General features: G+C 35.7%; 1 protein-coding gene across 6 annotated transcripts in view; it reads left to right on the top strand.

Moving 5' to 3' along the window:
• Positions 1 to 21580, top strand: part of RASA2 (RAS p21 protein activator 2) — a 128318-nt gene that overhangs the window by 45509 nt on the left and 61229 nt on the right. For all 6 annotated transcript variants that reach the window (NM_001303245.3, NM_001303246.3, NM_006506.5 and 3 more), the window contains 2 exons: positions 7998 to 8074; positions 21322 to 21405. In NM_001303245.3, coding sequence (NP_001290174.1) covers positions 7998 to 8074; positions 21322 to 21405 — 161 coding nt within the window. The remainder of the gene's footprint in view (positions 1 to 7997; positions 8075 to 21321; positions 21406 to 21580) is intronic.

Consider the following 21580-nt stretch of genomic DNA (forward strand, 5'->3'; position numbering starts at 1 on the left):
ACAGACATTAAAATTTGCCTAAGTTCATCTGTAAAATGAGTATACAAAATGAAAAGTTAAAAATTTTTGCGTAAGTTACAATTATTTTTGAAAAGAGTTTAGTTTCTTATAAAATACACTAAGGTATTTGGGTGGTTTGTTTGTTTTTGGTTGACTACCGCATAAAATAATTGGCTTGCATTCTGGGCCATGGTAAATGAAAACTATATACTGTATCTTTAAACTGTAGACCTCCCCCCTGCCCTGACTCAGTACAGCAATAGATACTGCAAGTGGCACATGGAAACTGAGACCCACTAATCATTTCTTATATTCCTATGTTCACTGTGCTTATTGAGCATAAGTTCTCACTGTTTAAATATTGTTTTTTTTCTTTCCCTTTCATGAAGTGAATAATGTTTTCTCTCAGTCTTTCCCTCTCATTTTAATAACTATTTGCTTTGCAAAATATAAAGGAAAGAAAAAAACACCATTTTGAGATGCCATTGTATTCTTTTTGTATGTATGATGAGACATGTCTCTTCCTCTGCTTCTCTGTAAATCTACTCCAGTCTCTTTTTGAGACCTAAAAGACGCCACACCAATTTTTGAGTCCATGTGACCATACAGCTTCCTCACCTCCAACATCTGACTCAGTTTTCTGCCACAATCTAGAGAGAAAGTTTGGCTAAACTTGGGTCAGATGTCTACTTCAATCTAATTTGATATGGTTGGAGGAAAATTCACTGTAAGGCAGTCCACTTTAGGGCTTTGAGTAGGCATGTTCCCTAAGGAAGGGGTTTGAGTAGAGGAAATGAATGGCATTGCTACCTCAGAGGGAGAGATGCTTGTTTCCTAGTTCTACCACTAATTAGCATTTGTGCCCCAAATAATCGCAAGCCTGTTACCTGAGGATCTTCATCTATGAAATGATAATGTCAGCGCAAAGGGTTCCCTTAGTTGTGAAGTTCTAGGGAAATAACATGCAGAAATGTAATTTAGCTTTCCAGTGGAAGGATCCCAGTAGTATTAAGATGGGCTTTATGCCAAAACAGTTGAAAAATTGTTTAGAACTATAACCTCTTACCTTGAATTGTCTCCCAGAGATAATTTTTTATTATTGCTGATACTGTTATACTTGTCAATAATGTTAATAGTTCTTTTCAGTTTCATCTTCAGTAGTTCAAAATATTGTTAGTAACATTTCATGAGTGTATTTTTCTACTTTTTTTTTGTATTTAGATTTTGGCTTGATTCTACCTTTTGTAATTTTTCCTTCTGGGCTGAACCATTTTTTTCCTCAACCTATTCTAATCTGCTTTCAGACTCTGCAGTGGGTCAGAGAGAGAGCAGAAATGGTTCTTTTTACCAATGACATTGTGTCAATAAGTCTAGTGGACATTTTTCAGTCCTCATCTTACTTGATCTTTGAGCAGCTTTTGATACTGGTGACCACTCCCTCCATTTTGAAGCATTCTTTTCCTTAGTTTCTGATCCTGTTTATGGTCCTAGTTATCATCTATTTCATTTGGTATTCTTTCTCAATATTCTTTGCCACATATGTGAAGTTAATATGGGTTGTGCTGGTGCCTTCTATAAATCCTCTTTTGGCTTCAGTGAACTACAGCCGTGCTATTAGTTATTAGGTCCTGTAACTCACCAGGAACATTAGGTATTTATCCTTTCTTTATTTCTTAGGCACAGTGATAAAAAGCATACTTTACATATGGTTGATTAACCAGGCCGGGTATGGTGGCCCACTGTAGTCCCAGCACTTTGAAAGGTTGAGGCAGACAGATTGCTTGAGCCCAGAAGTTTGAGACCAGCTTGGGCAACATAGCAAGACCCCATCTTTATAGGGGGGGGAAAAAGAGTGATTAAACCAAATCTCCCATATGGAGAATTTGCTGCTCTCATTAATTAAGGAGTTTGTCTCACACAACTTGTCCAAGCAGTAAATCCAGATGTGCTATCAACCATGTCCTATATGATGCAATTACTTAGTTAATAGGTCTTTACCAACAAGCATATCTTGAATTTCTGGATCATGCCATAAGTTATTGATTGTTTTATAGGTGTTTTTTTTTTTAAAGACCTCTGCCTTACCTGTTTAAAAAGACATTTAAAAAGAAATGCAATGATTATAGCTAATAATAAATACATGAGGATTTTTAAAACATGCCCTATTCAAGACATAACAAATGTAAAAACATAATTCATTATTGCAGGTTGATTTTTTTTAACTTCATTTTAAATTTTTATGTGAATTAATAATGAGCCATTCTAGATCATATTAAATACTTCTTTAAGGAGAAAACAACACCTTCATAAAGAACTGCCATTAATATAAGAGATATTAAATAAAATTTGTATTTTGCTTTTTCATCTGATGGGCGATTGTGTCCAAAATCATTTATAGAGGTAATTTCTACGTATTAAAACATCCATCAGAAACTCCGAAGTTGGGATATTTTTCACCTCATGTACAGGCATACCTTCTTTCATTGTACTTCACTGTGTCGTGCTTCACAGATACTGCATTTTTTACAAATTGCAGGTTTGTGACAACCCTGTGTCAAGCAAATCTATCTGCCTCATTTTTCCGACATCATATGCTCACCTCATTTCTCTATGACAGCCTTTTTTAGCAATAACATATTTTTAAATTAAAATATGTATATTGTTATTTAAGACATATTGCACACTTAATAGACTGCAATATAGTATAAATGTAACTTATATACACTAGAAAACCAAAAAATTTTTGTGACTTTCTGTTTAGATATTTGCTTTATTGAAGTGGTCTGGACCCTTAGACAGTATTTCCAAGGTATGCCTGTAAAAACATTTTTTACCAGTTGAAACATACTGAGTTATTTTATATGGAAATGGTTGTTAAAATTTAGTGTTTTGTGATAAAAACAAAATAAAGTTTAGACTTGAGAGGATTTTAAGTGCATGTATTATGTTTTGCTCAAATACCTCTATATTAGTCCATTTTTGTGTTGCTATAAAGGAACATCTAAGGCTGAGTAATTTATAAAGGAAAGAGGTTTATTTTGGCTTACAGTTCTTCTGCAGGCTGTACAGGAAGTATGGTGCTGGCATCTGCTTCTGGTGAGTGCTTCAGGAAGCTTACAATCATGGTGGAAGGTAAACGGGGAGCAGGCATATTACATGATGAGAGAGGGAGCAAGAGACAGAAGGCAGAAGTCCCAGACTCTTAAACAACTAGATCTCACATGAACTAACTAAGCAAGACGCACTTATCACCAAGGGGGTGGCACTCAGCCATTCATGAGGGATCTACCCCCATGATCTGACACCTCCCACTAGGCCCCACCTCCAACACTGGGGATCACATTTCATCATGAGATTTGGAGGGACAAACATTCAAGCCATATCAACCTCTGTTCATCTTATTTTCCCAAACTGTATGCAGAAATTTACACAGTATCTTCTATATGGTACCAAGAATATATGTAATACACAATTGAAATAATCACAGATATTTTTGTGTGAAATTTTTGTAAAATTAATTGAAATAAAGTTAGCGTATAAAATACTAAATCTTCAAATAGTACCTGTATTAGCCCATTTTCACGCTGCTGATAAAGACATATCCAAGACTGGAAAGAAAAAGAGGTTTAATTGGACTTATAGTTCCACATGACTGGGGAGGCGTCAGAATCATGGCAGGAGGTGAAAGGCACTTCTTACATGGCAGTGGCAAAAGAAAATGAGAGAGAAGCAAAAGCGGAAACCCCTGATAAACCCATCAGATCTTGTGAGACTTATTCACTATTACGAGAATAGCACAGGAAAGACTGGCCCCCATGATTCAATGACCTCCCCCCGGGTTCCTCCCACAACACATGGGAATTCTGGGAGATACAATTCAAGTTGACATTTGGTGGGGACACAGCCAAACCATATCAGTACGAGAGTAGTGTAAGTTCCTCAGAATGCCCCTTAATATAAGATAATGTGATATTATAACTGCATGTATCAGCCTAACATAGTCAGTGCTATGGAAGTCATATAGAGCAATACCTTCCAAGAATTTGGTTTATTTTTTATTAAAGACGTATAATACAGTGCAAGGTATCTGATCTTCCAACATTTTCTGACATACATGAAAAGTATACTGTCATTGAGCTTCCTTTAGGAGATTGAATAATAAGAATGCAGTTGTAGACCAAATCACATTACATGTTTATTATCAAACATAGTACCTTGTTAGATTCTTTTTTTTTTTTTTTTTTGAGATGGAGTTCTGCTGGAGTGCAATGGTGTGATCTCAGTTCACCACAACCTCTGCCTCCTGGGTTCAAGTGATTCTCCTGCCTCAGCCTCCCGAATAGCTGGGATTACAGGCATGCGCTGCCACACCCGGCTAATTTTGTATTTTTAGTAGAGACGGGGTTTCTCCGTGTTGGTCAGGCTGGTCTCAAACTGCTGACCTCAGGTGATCTGCCTGCCTTGGCCTCCCAAAGTGCTGGGATTACAGGCATGAGCCACTGCGCCCAGCCTCCTTGTTGGATTCTTAATGTTACTTCTTCGTAGGTTCTTTATTTTTCTTATTTGTCCCTAGGAGTTCTTGAATCTGTGGCTTGTCTTCTATCAGTTTTGGAAAATTCCAGGCAATTATCTTATCTCCTTTTTTTTTCTGCCCTGTTCTTTTTTTCTCTTCTCTGCTGTGACTCCAGTTACATGAATAATAGGCCATTTCACCATGTCTCATATGTCTCCTATGCTTTTTCCCTCTCTGTGCTTCATTGTGGATATTTTCTACTGACCTGTCTCCCATTTCACCAGTCCTCTTTTCAGCTGTGGCTACTCTGCTACTAAATACATTTTCATTTTGGTTTATTGCTTAGTTCTAACTTTTTTATTTCATTCATTTTATAGTTTCCAGGTATCTGCTGGATTTTTCATTTTGTTTTATGTCTTTTAAAAAATAGCTATTTTAGGCTGGATGCAGTGGCTCACACCTGTAATCCCAGCACTTTGGGAGGCCAAGGCGGGAAAATTACTTGAGGTCAGAAGTTCAAGACCAGCCTGGCCAACATGGTGAAACCGTGTCTCTACTAAAAATACAAAAATTAGCCGGGCGTGGTGGCACATGCCTGTAGTCCCAGCTACTCGGGAGGCTGAGGCAGGAGAATCGCTTGAACCCGGGAGGCAGAGGTTGCAGTGAGCTGAGATCACGCCACTGCACTCTGGCCTGCGTGACAGAGCTAGACTCTGTCTCAAAGAAAAAAAAAGCAATTTTAAATTCTGTCAATTCCAATATCTGCGTCTCTTGTAAGTCCACTGCTTTCCTCATTTTTTCTCTTGGTTTTTGATCTTCTGGCATATTCTGTAATTTTTAATGGAATGCTGGAGAATAAAATATAAAATATATTGGAGATAATTTGAGGGCCTGAATGGTATATTTCCTCTAGAGAAGAAGTATGATTCCCTGCCAGCAACTGCTGTTTCTATCTTGTTGGCCAGAACTACATCATATGGCTATCCCTGATCTCAAGGGAGGCTACAGAATGTCAGTTTGCTGGGCTCATAACTGCCCCATCAAAAAACAAAACACACACACACACACACACACACACACACAAACTTGTTTTGCTGCAATTCAAATCTATTAAATGATTACAGATATAAGTAAAACTGAACTTTTGTGTGAAAAGAGACTAAAAAGTATTCTAAAATGTTCACTGATTTGAGTTTCTAAAACTGAAAAGCAGTTTTAAATAATTTAAAACTTTATTTTTCTTTACTAAGAACAACACAGTAGTAGTAAAAACTTTGAAAATTAAATTGGTAGTATATACTTTTAAAATCTGAAAATTAAATTGGTAGTATGAACTTTTAAAATCTAGAGCAAAAAAGCAAAGAAAATCTTCTGAAATTTCACCAACCAAAGGTATCTTCTATCAACATTTTGGTAGATGATCTTGTAATTTTATACATATATGTTTTTTATTTTTATAAGTTAACATTATAGTATGTACCCTATTTTGTGATTTATTTCTTTTGCTAAGGATAGTATGTATTTCCTTGTTAAAGTATATAATGAGTTAGTGTTTTACAGTTTAGAAATTATAATTTCCTTAATTTAACTCATAATGCCTTTTAATTTAGTGTTCCACCCTAACAGTATGTGTTTTGTGTCTGCCTGTTCTGTCCTCACACTTTTCTTGACCTGGTTAATATATAATTGTGTTATTGTTGATTAATACCTAAGGAATGTTTTATTTACCAGTCAGTGGGAGTAATGAACATATTAGGTAGGCTCTGACTCAATAATAATGATTTCTGGCAGAATCTCATTAAATATCCTTTTGACTTGCTATAATACTATGATTTTAGTTGTAAACAAAATGATTATCTTTTTCTACTCTATTGTCATAGTTTTTATTTCTTAGAACTGGAATAGATCCCAGACATTTCCTGAGAGACAGTTGTGTTAGCATACGATTTCTGTAATAAAATGTATATATGTTAAAATTGTAAAACTGCAAATTTTTGTGCCGTTGGCTTGGCTCCCTTGCTAGCCAAGTAATACATACATGCTGTCACAACAGAAAATATGATTTCAAAATTCTAGTTGAGTAATATTACAAATTACAGATCATGGACCTTCAAGATCACCCTTGAATAGTAGAGATTGTAAATACTAAATGCAGGAATAATGAAAGACCTAGTTTACAAATTATATATGATTTTATGAATATTTGTGCCTAGATTTTTAGTGGAAGATTTGCTTAATTTAGTTCCAGCTCCACGTAACTGCTATTAATTTTTCTACCACAGATGTGTTTGCTCCTTTAGACCTTAGCTTTCTCAGGCAGACTTCTGTTTTAAGATCCATCAGTATTTTTTGCTCATCTCTTACTATTCATCTAACCCTGAGCTTTGTACCTGGTGGACCTCAGATTCATTCTTGTATAAGTCCCCTTAAAATAGTGAGGGTGTTTCAGGTTAGGTTTCTGTGAAAGAATTTTTGAAAAGGGTTGTTCTAAAGAGGAACAGTGACTAGATAATGAACTTTCCTACCTCTAATGAAATCACTCACGTCATCAGTCCCTAGACATCACTCCCCTGAAATCTCCACATGGCAATGTGAGAATTTGTCTTGTCAGCTGGAGGGAGGTAATCCAGTACTGTTTCTTAACCAGTTTAGAATTGTTAGCGCAGAATTGCTCATCACCAGCGGCAGGTTAGAAATATCAAGCTCTAGATTATATTGTTCCTAAGCCTTTATTTCTTGAGAAGTTGATTGTTTGAATTCTTTTGAACTTACACTACTTAATTTTTAAAAATTCGTCTATTAATATCTCTTTAAGAAAGTACTCCTTTATTTTCAGTGTCCCATCTTTCCATCAAGACTCTTGGCCATATGTTATCTTTTGTTTATTGTCTTCCCAACTAGATTGTACGCTGCTTGTAAGCAGTGACTTACATCTTTAACATCTATGGATTCCTACCCACTCCCACAGTGCCTTCTGAAACATAGTAGACATTCCATAAATCTTTATTGTTTGATCAAAGTAAGTAGTGACAAATTGAGTTTTATTGGCTGTAACTTAGTTTTTAGTTGTTTTAGAATTGTATGATTTCTCTGTCTTTTAATGAGACTGCTTCTGTCCTTAATGCTGGTTTATCTTCTGGAAAAAGCATCCTACATTTTATAATTTGGTTTTATCTCAAAATTTCCTTAAATTTAGGTATTGTCTTTCCTTTTAGTCTGTGATAATTAGATATATAAATATTTATTGAATTGGACATAAAATTCTTAAATTTGAATACCATGTTTGACATAAGTATTTGTTTCATATCTTTCAGAACTTTGATCTCTGGTTTTGGTTATTATTCATTTAACAAGTACTTAGTGTAGGCAAAGCCATGTGCTAGTGGTCAGTGGATAAATACTGTGGTGATTTGAAAAGGCACATACCTTTAATATTTTGTCAGTAAAATAGACTACTCAGTTTGTAATCTTTTTGTCATTATAGGGTAAAGTTCACCTTGAATTAAAACTGAATGAACTGATAACGGAGAATGGAACTGTATGCCAGCAGCTTGTTGTACAGTAAGCATTTTTTTTAACCAAAATCAACTAGAAATAATTCTCCATTTTGTATTCTTTCGATTTTAAGCCAACTCCTTGTTTTAACTTCAGAAACTTTTTTCAAAAATGAAATTCTGCTATGTCATTCCTTTTGTGAAGTTGATTTTCAATTTAATTTTCTCATAGTCTACTCAGGTTATGGTGAGTCATTAATTTATTCAACTAATATTTATTGAATATGGGTTAAATGATATATATGGGCATTAAGGATAAGGGTGTCTAACTCTCTGGCAGTGGAGAATTGGAAAGGCTTCCCAAAGAAGGTCCTCTAGAAATTGTCATACCACAGAGCAGAGCTTTAGAGACTTTGGAGCTAGAACTAATGCCCACTCAGAGATGACCAGTATTGATTCCCACCTACTTTGAATTCCTTTTTACCTCTTCCACCCTCAAGTCATTTTTTACCACCCAGACTCTAATCTCCTGGCTGTTCTGGAAATCTGTTGTAGCCCAATCCCCTACTCTTTTCCTCCCCTCCAAACCCTTACTCTGTGATATCAATAGACTGCCAGATAACCTTCACTTCTTCTGGGTGTTTTCCTCTATTTTTGCATTAGTTGACATCTGAATATCCCACAAAGTACAGCAGTTTCACAGCCTTCTCAGTTAGAGGCTTTGTTTTTCTATCATGTCCACATATTGTAAGGTCAGGGAGTAGAGTAGATATTACTCTCCTATTGCTGCTCCAGACTGTAACTTATTCTCATCAATTGTGAACCCCAGCTCCTTTGAGGTATTCTATCTGTATATAAATATGTCTGTTTGCTACTATATATAATATTTATTTCATTAATTTTTTCTGACCTCTTTGAAAGAAGATTGCATATGTATGACTCTTAATATATCAGTATGTATTTCCTAAGAATAAGGAATATTATCTTAAATAACTCCAGTACAGTTACCAAATTCAGGAAGTTTAACATTGTTACAATACTTTTTAAAAATCTATAGTTATTTTCTAATATTTTAATCTGCAGTTATTATATTCCACTTTTGTTAACTGTCCCAATGATGTCTATTAAGGCGTTTTTTTCCTTCTAAGAAAGGATCTGCTCCAAGATTATGTTTTATGTTTAGTTGACATGTCTCTTTAATCTCCTTTAACATGGAATAGTTTTTTGCTTTTCTTTGATTGTATTAACATTTTTTAAGAATATAAACCAGTTTTTTTTTTTTTAATGTTTCTCAATTTGGATTTACCTACTAAAAATAGTTCAAGATCTGTTTGCAGCTTTTTCTCCACAGACTGACTCTGTAGACCAACTGAGAGCATATGGTGAAAGTATCTGGATTAGGTCTTCCACTCCTCCCTCCCCTGCTTCAGTTTAATTATAATAGTCATTTGAAATATAGTTAGTTTGGTTGGTTTGGTTTGTTTGCATTCAATTTAAGGGTTTTTTTGTGCCCCTTCCCCCCAATTTAAGTTTTTTCCCCCATCCTTCTAGGCTTAATTTTATTTTTGAATAGAATATTTGCATGATTTCAAAAATCAAAACTATAACAAAAGGCGTTACTCAGAGATGTGTGTAGTTCAGTTCCCTCTCCCCACACCCAGCTCCAAGCAACCATGATCTGATTTCTGTCCCTACAGTTTTTGCCTTTTCCAAAGTGTTATTTGAACAAAAGTATATGATATGTCTTTTTTGTGTCTGCTGTCTTTCACTTAGCATAATGCTTTTGAGATTCATCCACACTGTACGTATATCATTTCCTTTTTGGTGTGTTATTTGTTTCTTGCCATAATTTGGTAGATACTGTTATCCTCATTTTGCAGATGACAAAACTGATGCCCATATTGGTTAAATAAGCCTAATTTCACACAGGAAGTGTTGGAGGCTGGCAGTTTGATTTTTTTCCCCCAACTTTAAAATTTTGAAATAATTACAGATTTACAGAAAGTTGTAAGGATAGTACAGAGAGGTCCTGTGTACCCTTCATTCTTTTTCCCTCAGTGGGTACATCTTGCATGACTATAGCACAATACCAAAACCAGGAAATTTACATTGGCATAATGTATGTATATAGTTATAGATCATTTTATCATGTGTGTTGATTTGTGTAACTACCACCACCAAGATACGAAACTCTTCTGTCACCATAAAGATATCTCTCATCCCATAGCTTTATAGTCATAACCACTCCTCTCTTCTAACCCTTGGCAACCTCTAATCTGTCTTTATATCTATAATTTTGTCATTTCAAGAATGTTATGTGAATGGAATCTTATAATATGTGACCTTTTGAGATTGGCTTTTTTTACTCAGATCTATCTGAATGACTGTGTGTAGTTTTTTGTAGACAGAATATAGTTGGGTCACTTTTTTAAAAAAATCATTTTTGCCAATCTCTGTCTTTTTTTGGTGAGTTTTTTCCATTTATTTTTAATGTAATTATTGAATATTAGGCTTAAATATGCCATTTTTTGTTTGTTTTCTGTTTGTCTCCTATTTTATAGTTTTCTGTTTTCTTTTTCCTGTGGGTTACTTGAACACTTTTTAGAATTCCATTTTGATTTATTTATATTGTGTTTTTAAAAAATCTATGGTCTCTTTGTATAGATTTTTTTTTAGTGGTTGCTCTAGGTATTACATTATACATGCATAACTAATCATAATGTACTGATGTCAACATTTTACCAATTAGAATAAAATGTATGTACTTTACCTTTCTTTAAATCCCTTTACCCTCCCCCATTTGTAATATACTTTGTCTTAAATATTTTGTCTACATATATTGAGAACCACATCAAACAATGTTATAATTTTTGCTTCAGCCATCTAACACAGTTGAAAAGAGTTAGAGGAAAAGGAAAGTGTAAGTCTGTTGTCTCTACCCACATTTTTGCCCTTTCCATGTTATTTTTTTCCTTTCTGATGTTTCACGATTCCTTCTGTGATTAAGTGTATAGAGTTTCCTCTTAACATTCTTTTAGAGTAAGTCTCTTGGTGATACATTCTCTTGGTTTTCCTTCATCTCAGAAGGTCTTGATTTCCTCTTCATTTGTAAAAGATAATTATACTAGATATAGAATTCTGAGTGGACAGTTCTTTTCTTTCCACATTTGAAAATGTACCACTTCCTTGTGTCCTCGATGGTTTCTGATGTGAAGTTCATTGTCATTCAAATTGTTTTTCCCTATAGGTAACACACCGTTTTTCTCTGGCTTCTTTTAAGGTTGTTCTTTGCCTTTAGATTTCTTTTCTTTTTTCTTTCTTTCTTTCTTTTTTCTTTTTTTTTTTTTTTTTGATATGGAGTCTAGTTCTGTCACTCAGGCTGGAGTGCATTGGTGTGATCTCAGCTCACTGCAACCTCTGCCTCCCGGATTCAAGCGATTTTCATGCCTCAGCCTCCTAAGTAGCTGGAATTACAGGCATGCACCACCATGCCCAGCTAATTTTTACATTTTTAGTAGAAACAGGGTTTCGCCATATTGGCCAGGCTGCTCTCGAACTCCTGGCCTGAAGTGATCCTTCTGCCTTGGCCTCCCAAAGTCCTGGGGTTATAGGTGTAAGCCACCACGCCCAGCCTGCCTTTAGATTTCTATATGTTTTAGCTTGATTGTGATGTATCCTGGAATAGATTTATTTAATTTATCCTGTTTGGGGTTCGCTCAGCTTCTTGACTATGTATATTTATGTCTTTTGCCAGATTTGGGGAATTTTCAACCATTATTTCTTCTATTAATTCTTTATCACCTCTGCTATCTTTCTCTTCTTCTTTCAGAACGCCAGTGGCACAAATGTTAGGTCTTTTTTTTACAGTCCCAGAGGTCCCCCTGAGGCTTTGTCCTTTGCTTTTCCCCCCAGTCTATTTTCCCTCTGTTGTTCAAATTGGGTGATTTCTATTGTTATGTCTTCAAGTTCACTGATTCTTTCCTCTGTCTTCTTCATTCTTCTGTTTAGCTTATCTGTTGAGTTTTTTATTTTGGTTATTTATATTTTTAAGTTCTAAAATTTATATTTGATTCTTCTTTATAACTTTTTTCCTTTGGTGAGAGTTTCTTTTGCAGAGACTTTCTTGTTTTTTTGTTTCAAACATATTCATAATTGTTCATTGCATTATTCACAATAGCAAAGACATGGAATCAACTTAAATGGCCATCAATCGCAGACTGGATAAAGAAAATGCAGTACATACATGCCATGGAATACTAGCCGTAAAAAAGAAAGAGATCATATCCTTTGCAGGAACATAGGCGGAGCTGAAGGCCATTATCCTTAGCAGACTAACGCAGAAACAGAAAATGAAACCAAATACTGCACGTGCTCACTTATAGTGGGAGCTAAATGATGAGAATGCATGGACACATAGAGAAGAACAACAGACGTTAGGGCCTACCAGAGGGTGGAGAGTAGGAGGAGGGAGAGGATCAGGAACAATAACTAATGGGTGCTAGCCTTAATACCTAAGTGACAAAATAATCTGTACAACAAACCCTTGTGACACAAGTTTGCCTATATAACAGACCTGCACATGTACCCCTGAACTTAAGTTAAAAAGAAATTGCTCATTGAATTATTTTTATGATGGCTGCTTTCAGATCCATGTCACATAATCATAACAATCATGTCATCTTGGTGTTAGTGTCTTGTGTTAGTCCATTCTCACATTGCTATAAAGAAATACCTGAGACTGGGTAATTTATAAAGAAGTTTAATTCACTCATGGTTCTGCAGGCTGTACAGGAAGCATGGCAGCATCTGCTTCTGGGGAGGCCTCAGGAAGCTTCCAATCATAACAAACACCAAGCGGGAGCAGGTGTCCTACATGGCAGGAGCAGGAACAGGAGAGAGAGTGGGGAGGTACTACATACTTTTTTTTTTTTTTTTTTTTTGAGATGGAGTCTCACTCTGTCGACCAGGCTGGGGTGCAGTGACACGACCTCCACCTCCTGGGTTCAAGTGATTCTCCTGCCTCAGCCTCCGAGTAGCTGGGATTACAGGTGTGCACCACCAGACCTGGCTAATTTTTGTATTTTTAGTAGAGTTGGGGTTTCATCATGTTGGTCAGGCTGGTCTCGAACTCTTGACCTCGTGATGTGCCCACCTCAGCCTCCCAAAGTGCTGGGATTACAGGCATGAGCCACCAAGCCTGGCCCTCTTTTAGTTATTTTTAAATGTATAATAAATTATTGTTGTCTGTAGTCACCTTCTTATGCTGTTAAATACGAGATCTTATCCATTATATCTAACTATATTTTTGTACCCTCACTTCCCGTCCCAGCCCCTGGAAAACTTTGTTCTACTCTCTGTTATCATGAGTTCAATTGTTTGAGTTTTTAGCTCCCACAAGTGAGACCATACGAGGTTTGTCTTTCTGTGCCTGGTTTATTTCACTTAACGTAATGATCTCCAGTTCCATCCCTGTTATTTTGAATGACAGGACCTGATTCTTTTTTGTGACTGAAAAGTACTCCATTATGTATATATACCACATTTTCTTTATCAGTTCGCCTGTTGATGGACACTTAGATTGCTTCCAATTCTTGACTATTGTGAATAGTGCCACAGTAACCATGAGAGCGCAGATACCTCTTCAATATACTGATTCCCTTTCTTTAGTGGGATTGCTGGATCATGTGGTAGCTCTATTTTTAGTTTTTTGAGGAACCTCCAAACTGTTCTCCATAGTGGTTTTATTAATTTACATTGCCACCAGCAGTGTACAAGGGTTCCCTTTTCTCCATATCCTCACCAATATTTGTTACGCATGTCTTTTGGATAAAAGCCATTTTAACTGGAGAAAAATTATAATTTCATTGTAGTTTTGATTTACACTTCTCTGATGATCAGTGATGTTGAGCACCTTTTCATAAATTTGTTTGCCATTTGTATGTCTTCTTTTGAGAAATATTTATTCAGATCTTTTGCTCATTTTTAAATCAGATTATTATATTCTTTTCCCGTAGAGTTGTTTGACCTCCTTACATATTCTGGTTATTAATCCGTTCTCAGATGGTTAGTTAGCAAATATTCTCCCATTCTGTGGGTTGTCTCTTCACTTTGTTGATCCTTCCTTTGTTGTGTAGAAGCTTTTTAACTTGGTGTGATCCCATTTGTCTATTTTCGCTTTGGTTGCCTGTGCTTGTGTGCTTGTGGCAACCATTATGCAAGAAATCTTTGTCTAGTCCAATGTCCTGGAGAGTTTCCCAATGTTTTCTTGTAGTAATTTCATAGTCTGTGGTCTAGATTTAAGCCTTTAATCCATTTTTATTTGATTTTTTTAATATGGTGAGAGATACGGGTTTAGTTTCATTCTTCTGCATATGGATATCTATTTTTCCCAGCACCATTTATTGAAGAAACTGTCCTTTCCCCAGTGTATGTTCTTGGCACCTTTATTAAAAATGAGTTCACTGTAGATGTACGGATTTGTTTCTAGGTTCTCTGTAATGATCTGTTGGTCTATGTGTCTGTTTTTATGCCAGTACAATGCTGTTTTGATTATTATAGCTCTGTAGTATAATTTGAAATCAGATAATTGTGATTCTTCCAGTTTTGTTCTTTTTGCTCAGGATAGCTTTGGTTATTCTGGGTCTTTTGTGGTTTCATATAAATTTTGGGATTTTTTTTTTCTATTTCTGTGAAGAATGACATTGGTATTTCAGTAGGGATTGCATTGAATCTGTAGATTGCTTTAGGTAGTATGGACATTTTAACAACATTGATTCTTCCAGTCCATGAACTTGGAATATCTTTCCATTTTTGAGTGTCCTCTTCAATTTCCTGCATCAGTGTTTTACAGTTTTCATTATAGATGTCTTTCACTTCTGTGGTTAATTCCTAGCTATTTTGTTTTATTTGTAGCTATTGTGTAAGCAGTATTACTTTCTTGATTTATTTTTCAAATTGTTCACTGTTGGCATACAGAAACCCCACTGATTTTTGTTGTGTTAATTTTGAATCCTGCCACTTTACTAAATTTGTTTATCAGTTCTAATAGTTTTTTGGTGGAGTCTTTAGGTTTTTTCCAAATAAGATCATATCATCTGTGAACAAGGATGATTTTACTTCTTTCTTTCCAGTTTGGATGCCTTTATTTCTATCTCTTGTCTGATTGCTCTAGCTAGGACTTGAATAACAGTGGTGAAAGTGGGCATCCTTGTCATGTTCCAGATCTTAGAGAAAAGACTTTCAGTTGTTCCCCATTCAGTATGATACTAGCTATGGATATGTACTATATGGCTTTTATTGTGTTGAGGTTTGATCCTTCTGTACCTATTTTTTGAGGGTTTTATTATTATGAAGGACTGTTGAATTTTGTCAAATACTTTTTGGCATCAGTTGAAATGATCATATGGTTCTTGCCCTTCATTCTGTTGATATGATGTGTCACACTGATTAATTTGCACATATTGAACCATCCTTGCATCCCTGAGACAAATCCCACTTGGTCATGATGAATGATCTTTTTAACGTGTTGTCGAATTGGGTTTGCTCATATTTTGTTGAAGATTTTTGCATCAAGGTTCATCAGGGATATTGGCCTATAGTTTTCTTTTTTTGATGTATCTCTCTCTGGTTTGGTATCAGGGTAACACTGGCCTCATAGGATGAATTTGGAAGTGTTCCCCTCTCTATTTTTTGGACTAGCTGAGTAGGATTGGTATTAGTTCTTCTTGAAATATTTGGTAGAATTCAGCAGTGAAGCCATCAGGTCCCAGGCTTTTCTTTGCTGCAAGACTTTTTACTGTGGCTTCAATTTCATTACTTGTTATTGGTCTCTTCAGGTTTTGGATTTTTTCATGGTTCAATCTTGGTAGGTTGTATATGTCCAGGAATTTATCCATTTCTTCTAGGTTTTTCCATTTATTCTTTTTTTCAAAGTTTCTTAAGCTTTTGCTCTCCATACTCACTGTCTTGTAGCAGCAGAGTTCCAGTGGTAGCTTTATGGAATTTATTGTTGATTTCTCATCCTTATAGATATTCTGAAATTCATGACATTCTCTGTTTTTTAGTATTGCTAAAGGCATGGTTTCACATATGGCTTTCTTTGTGCTTCTTGCTGGACTTTGGTTTTGGGGGAGTAATGTATGGGAAGATTCATATCCTAGTAGTTACTATTATCCTCCAGACCTAGAAAGTCCCCACTACAACATTTTTTGAACTTTAGTGAGACCTCCCTGCCATCCATTGATCTTCACTGTGTTCCTGTTTTCACTTCTTTCTACATCTTTTTCCGTGACCTATTGCTGTAGTCATTTTCTCGCAGGTTCCGTAAACTCCCCTATTGTTCTCATCATTCTTATTTATCTGGAAAAACTCTAATTGAAAATGACCTCTTCCTCTGTGTTCAATCTGCACATGAATATAGCTGGAGAAAATCATGTAGGCTGATTTCACTTTAAATTTATCATCACAGGCCTCACATGGGCACTTATATCTGCCCTGGAATTTAACTGTGCTTCTCTAATACAGCTATAAGATTCTCTACCACCACAGCCTGGAAATTGCTTACATCTTCCTGAATCCAAATCTATAAACCTAATTTGCATCCATAATTTTGTCCTTAGAGCAGAGGAGGTACTCCTTTTCTTGACATTGAATTCTTCCATCTGAGCTCTGGATTCCATTTATTTCCTCTACTTAATGAGTTTTGCTCCTTCAGTTATGCCTTCTTTTTCTTGTTTTGTCAGCTTTACCTTCTCTCCTACATGGTTCTCACCACAAATAAACATGGTCTAGTATCTCTGTCCTAAAAGGCATGCCTCCCCAGACCTCATCTCTGCCCACCCATACCCCAGTCCTTTTTATCATTCCCATTCCTCTGCTCTCCTTTGAAGGCAGACTTCTCTAGGGAAAAATAGTGGTAGGAGTGTGTATGAGTGTGTGTGTGCGTGTGTGTGTGTGTGTGTGTGTGTGTGTGTTTGCAATTCTCCAGTCAGCACTCTCCAGTAGATTTTTCTGTGATGTGGAAAATGCTTTGTATCTTCACTGTCCAAAACAGTAGCCACTAGCCATGTGTGGATATTGAAAACTTGAAATACAGCTAATGTGACCAAAGAGCTGAAGTTTAATTTTATTTAATTTTAATTAAATGTAAAAAACCACACATGGCTAATGACTACAGCATTAGTGCAGCTTCAGTAAAAGAACCTGGACTCCTTTTTAGCAGTAGCTTATTTCAGGACTTGGGCAGGGAAAATATGAGATGAGTCTGGAGCATCTTGGGGTCTCAAAAAGTAAGAAAGTGCTAAAAAATAATGGGGATATGTAAAAAGGACATTGAAGCCAATGTAAAGGGACTTCAAATTACCAAATCTGGAACAATTTGAGCTTCAGAATAAATAATAATAGTGGATTAAAACTTATAGAATAAAATAAATATAAGCGAATACTGGTACAAATAAACAATTAAAAACTCAAATACTTGGTAGGGAGAAAGGACTGATTTTTCCTATAGTAGAATTCTAGTTAATGAATGTAGGAGGAATGATGGAAATGAAAATCAACATTGGCAAACATCACAATAATAAGTGGGTGAGGGGACAATTCAAAAAATCATCTATGGATGCTAAGTGAGCATAAGTGTGGTGACAAGATGTCTGATAGATGCCACCTTAATTGAGTGATCAAAGTTAACATCACCAATAATGAGACATCCAGTACTTCCCAATAGGATGCATTGAGAAGGACACCAAGATACATAACCTCAACCTAATCATGAGTAAACATCAGACAAACTCAGATTAAGGAATACACTACAAAATAACTGGCCAATACTGGCAAGATCACGGGGCAAAGAAGGAAAACTAATGAACTGTCTCAGGATGGAGAGGAATAAGAAGACATGACAACTAAATGCACTATGGGATCCTGTATTGTGTCCTAGATCAAAAAAGGACATTGGTGAAATTTGAGTAAGGGCTACAGATTTCAGTAATTCTGCTGTGGTTCTACAAAACGTTAACATTTGTTGATGAGTATACAGAAACTATTATTTTAACAGCTTTTTTGAATATCTGAAATTATTTCAAAATAAGGTTTTTAAAATTGCCTGTACCTTGTGCATTCAACCCAGGTCTGTTTTCTGAGTTTCAGATTAATATGTCTACTTTGATGAATCACATTGCAAACTTAACACATTTAAAACTGAAGTACAGGGAGGCTGAGGCAGGAGAATGGCGTAAAACCGGGAGGCGGAGCTTGCGGGGAGCCGAGATTGCGCCACTGCACTCCAGCCTGGGCGACAGAGTGAGACTCTGTCTCAAAAACTGAAGTACTGATTCTCATGTCTATCCAACTCCTCCCCCAAAGTCTTAGCAAATGTTTAATTCCGCTCAGTATGTTTTTCATCTCTAGATTTTTCCATTTTTATTGTCTTCTGTGTCTGGATGGATCATATGGAATATAATTATAACTTTTAAATGTCTTTGTCTGCTAGTTCTGTCTTCTTTGTCATTTCTGATTCTGTTTCTATTGATTTTTCTTTTCATTATGGATCATAATTTCTTAGTTCCTTGCATTCCTGGTTATTTTCTGTTGCATGCCAGACATTGTGAAGTTGCTGGATATTTTAATATTTCTATGAATGTACTTGAGCTTTGTTCGGCACTTGGTTAAGTTACTTAGAAACAGTTTGATCCTTTTGTGGTTTACTTTTAACTTTTGTTAAACAGACAAGCACAGTCTTTACTGGAGGGCTTATGTTTTCCTACTATTAAGGCAGTACCCATGAATTACCAGGTTTTCTACTGTGGCTGATGGTACCTCTTGCTAGCCATGTGTGGGTTTTAGGAACTATTGCCTCTATTCTTTTCAAATGGTTCTTTCCCCAGCCTCAGATGATTTCCTCATATATACACGTATCAATACTCAGCTGAATACTCAGTGGGGATTCTTGTAGCTCCCTGGAGGTTTTTCTTTCTCTGTGCAACTTTCTTCCCTTTAGTACTCTGCCCTGGGGTCCCTAGTCACTTTGACCTCCTCCTGCTGACAGCTTTGCCTCTTCTTCTCAGAGAAACCATTTAGCTGTAAGCTGGGGCAGTTGGAGGGCTCACCTGTCCTTCACTGCTGATTTTGTTCAATTCGTTTTGGGTGGAGAGTAAATCTAGTTCCTGTTACTCCATCTTACCTGGATGTAGAAGTTAAAATTTTCTTTTAGTTTAAAAAAAAATCCAAAGAAAAGAATCAGATCAGTCTTATTCTGAACTGTTTATAATATTTTCTTACCTTTGTAAATTTTAGATACTATATTGTAAATGCTTTATATGTCACATATAAATAAAATATCAAATTCCTTATTGAGGTTATTTTCAACATTTGTTTTCTGCCCATCCATGATTTATGATATGAAATTGCTTACTTACAGATTGGAAGAACAGTGCTATGCTAGGTAATTAGAAAAATAATATTTCCAAATATATGTAATGAATAACCTATATTTAATAATATTACTTAAGTTTTGCAGAAAACTCAATTTTTAACTGTTTTATATTTAAAAATTAAGAGTACTGATGATTTCTGTAGGGTGCACTTCTGGTTTATGGGCATCCGTGTTTTGGTTTGTGGGTATTCTTATCGTTTCATAAGTTTTTTATAAGTCAGTACTGCATTTTCCTCTGCTTTTTTTTATACCTCATAAAATAGAAAATTGGATTTCTGTCATTAAGGTTTCTCATAATTGGTGTTTATGTGAGATAAATGTGGTATTACAAGGACAGTAATATTGTATTTGGGGGCACAGTGGGAATGTAGAAGGGCACTGGACTTCAGTAACAAAATTAAAAAGTAGAAGTTGAGTCTTGGCCAGCTTCTTACAAGTTACGCTACCTCTTTGAGCCTTACCTTGTAACTTCCTCACATAACCTGTGAGCCTTACTTCTTTTAAATGGCATAATTCTCTTCTCAAAGGCAGTTGTGAGAATTAGGTGCATTTTGTGAAAGTGCATAGTAAACTGCAAATGCCGTGTCAGATATCATTTTGAGGTTTAGCCTGAGAAGGGTAAGTTTTAAGCAGTATGTACAGTGGGAAAATCTGACTGTACCTCAACCCAACATTAAAACCCAGAATTATCTTGGCTTGTGTTTTCTTTGGCTAGTTTCAAAATTTCTTTCTTTATTTTTTTATGCTCAGCTATAATAGAAATGAGTCGTATTATCATTTCTGTCTTTACTCTGCAGTATACCAATAGCACTTCACTCACATCTGTGACCTGTGGGTTGTGGAGAGAAATAAGGATGTACTCAACAGCTTGCATCTTTCAACAAAGAATACTTTTCAGCAACACTCATGAGTTTCTCTTAGGCATTAGAAAATGCAGACCCTTAGACATTAAACTAAACTCATAAACTCAGTAATATTTAGTGAGAAAATTGGAGGAACAAATCACTAAAGTTAGATTCTGTGTTCTCTGTAAATGCCAACAACTGTGAGCCATGGAGTAGATTAGATGACCTTGGTTTTTATGGTCTAAAACATTTTCTACAGAATGGTGCTTACTGAGGAGCTGTTTACTGAGAATTGGAATAAAAGGCTGCAGAATTGTGTGAAGCTTGCCCTATATTTATGAATCAGATTTTTAAGTGGAAGCTGCAGTTGTTTCCTTGTTTGTCATTCATGCTTTAGCAGAGGATATGATGCCATAGAGCTGGCTTGGTTTGTAGCTTCTCATTTAGGGTTTGCACCACTTTCTTTTCCTTTTTAGAGGCCACAGCAGTTTTGATGTATTATCAAACCGCAAAATGTACCTTGTTGGGTATTTAGCAGAAGGAAATGTGTTGACTGTTACACATCCCTTATCTACAGTGCTTGAGACTGTTTTGAATTTCTTATTCTTATTTTTTTTTTGAGTATTTGCATTATATATACTTGCCCATTAAGCATCCCAAATCCAAAAAGCCCAAATTTGAAATGCTGCAGTGAGCATTTCCTTGGAGCATCATGTCAGTGCTCAGAAAGTTTTGAATTTTGGAGGACTTTGGATTTTTGAATTTGGAATGCTCAGTCTGTGTTTGATAGTTTCATTAGTGATTGTGGCATTCCTGTTTAGTCTCATTTTGAAAATACAGCATAAATTTAAAAATGCATACATACATATGTCCATACATATTACTACCTATTCCATATAGGTAGTATATAGCCATACAACTGCAGACACATGGAAAACAATTCTTAACCTTTTGAATGTATTAGTTTGTGTTTAAAGATAATGTTTTATCTTGTTTAACTGGAATCTAATATGTTAAATCTCTTTTATTCTACCTTAGCATCAAGGCATGCCATGGGTTGCCTCTCATAAATGGCCAAAGCTGTGACCCTTATGCAACAGTTTCTCTAGTGGGCCCTTCTAGGTAATATTTATTGAATTATTATTAGGTTTTAAAGTTTTGATGTTTGATTTAAAAATTTAAAAAGTAAGATTCTACGAGCAAATGATAAATAGCTATTTATAACACACAGTAATAAATGCTTTGAAAGAAAAATCTTTAGTGAGTTCTATTATACACTTGTCAATAACAAAGCCCT

The sequence above is a fragment of the Homo sapiens genome, chromosome 3 (genome assembly GCF_000001405.40).
Source record: "Homo sapiens chromosome 3, GRCh38.p14 Primary Assembly".
Classification (NCBI taxonomy): Eukaryota; Metazoa; Chordata; class Mammalia; order Primates; family Hominidae; genus Homo; species Homo sapiens.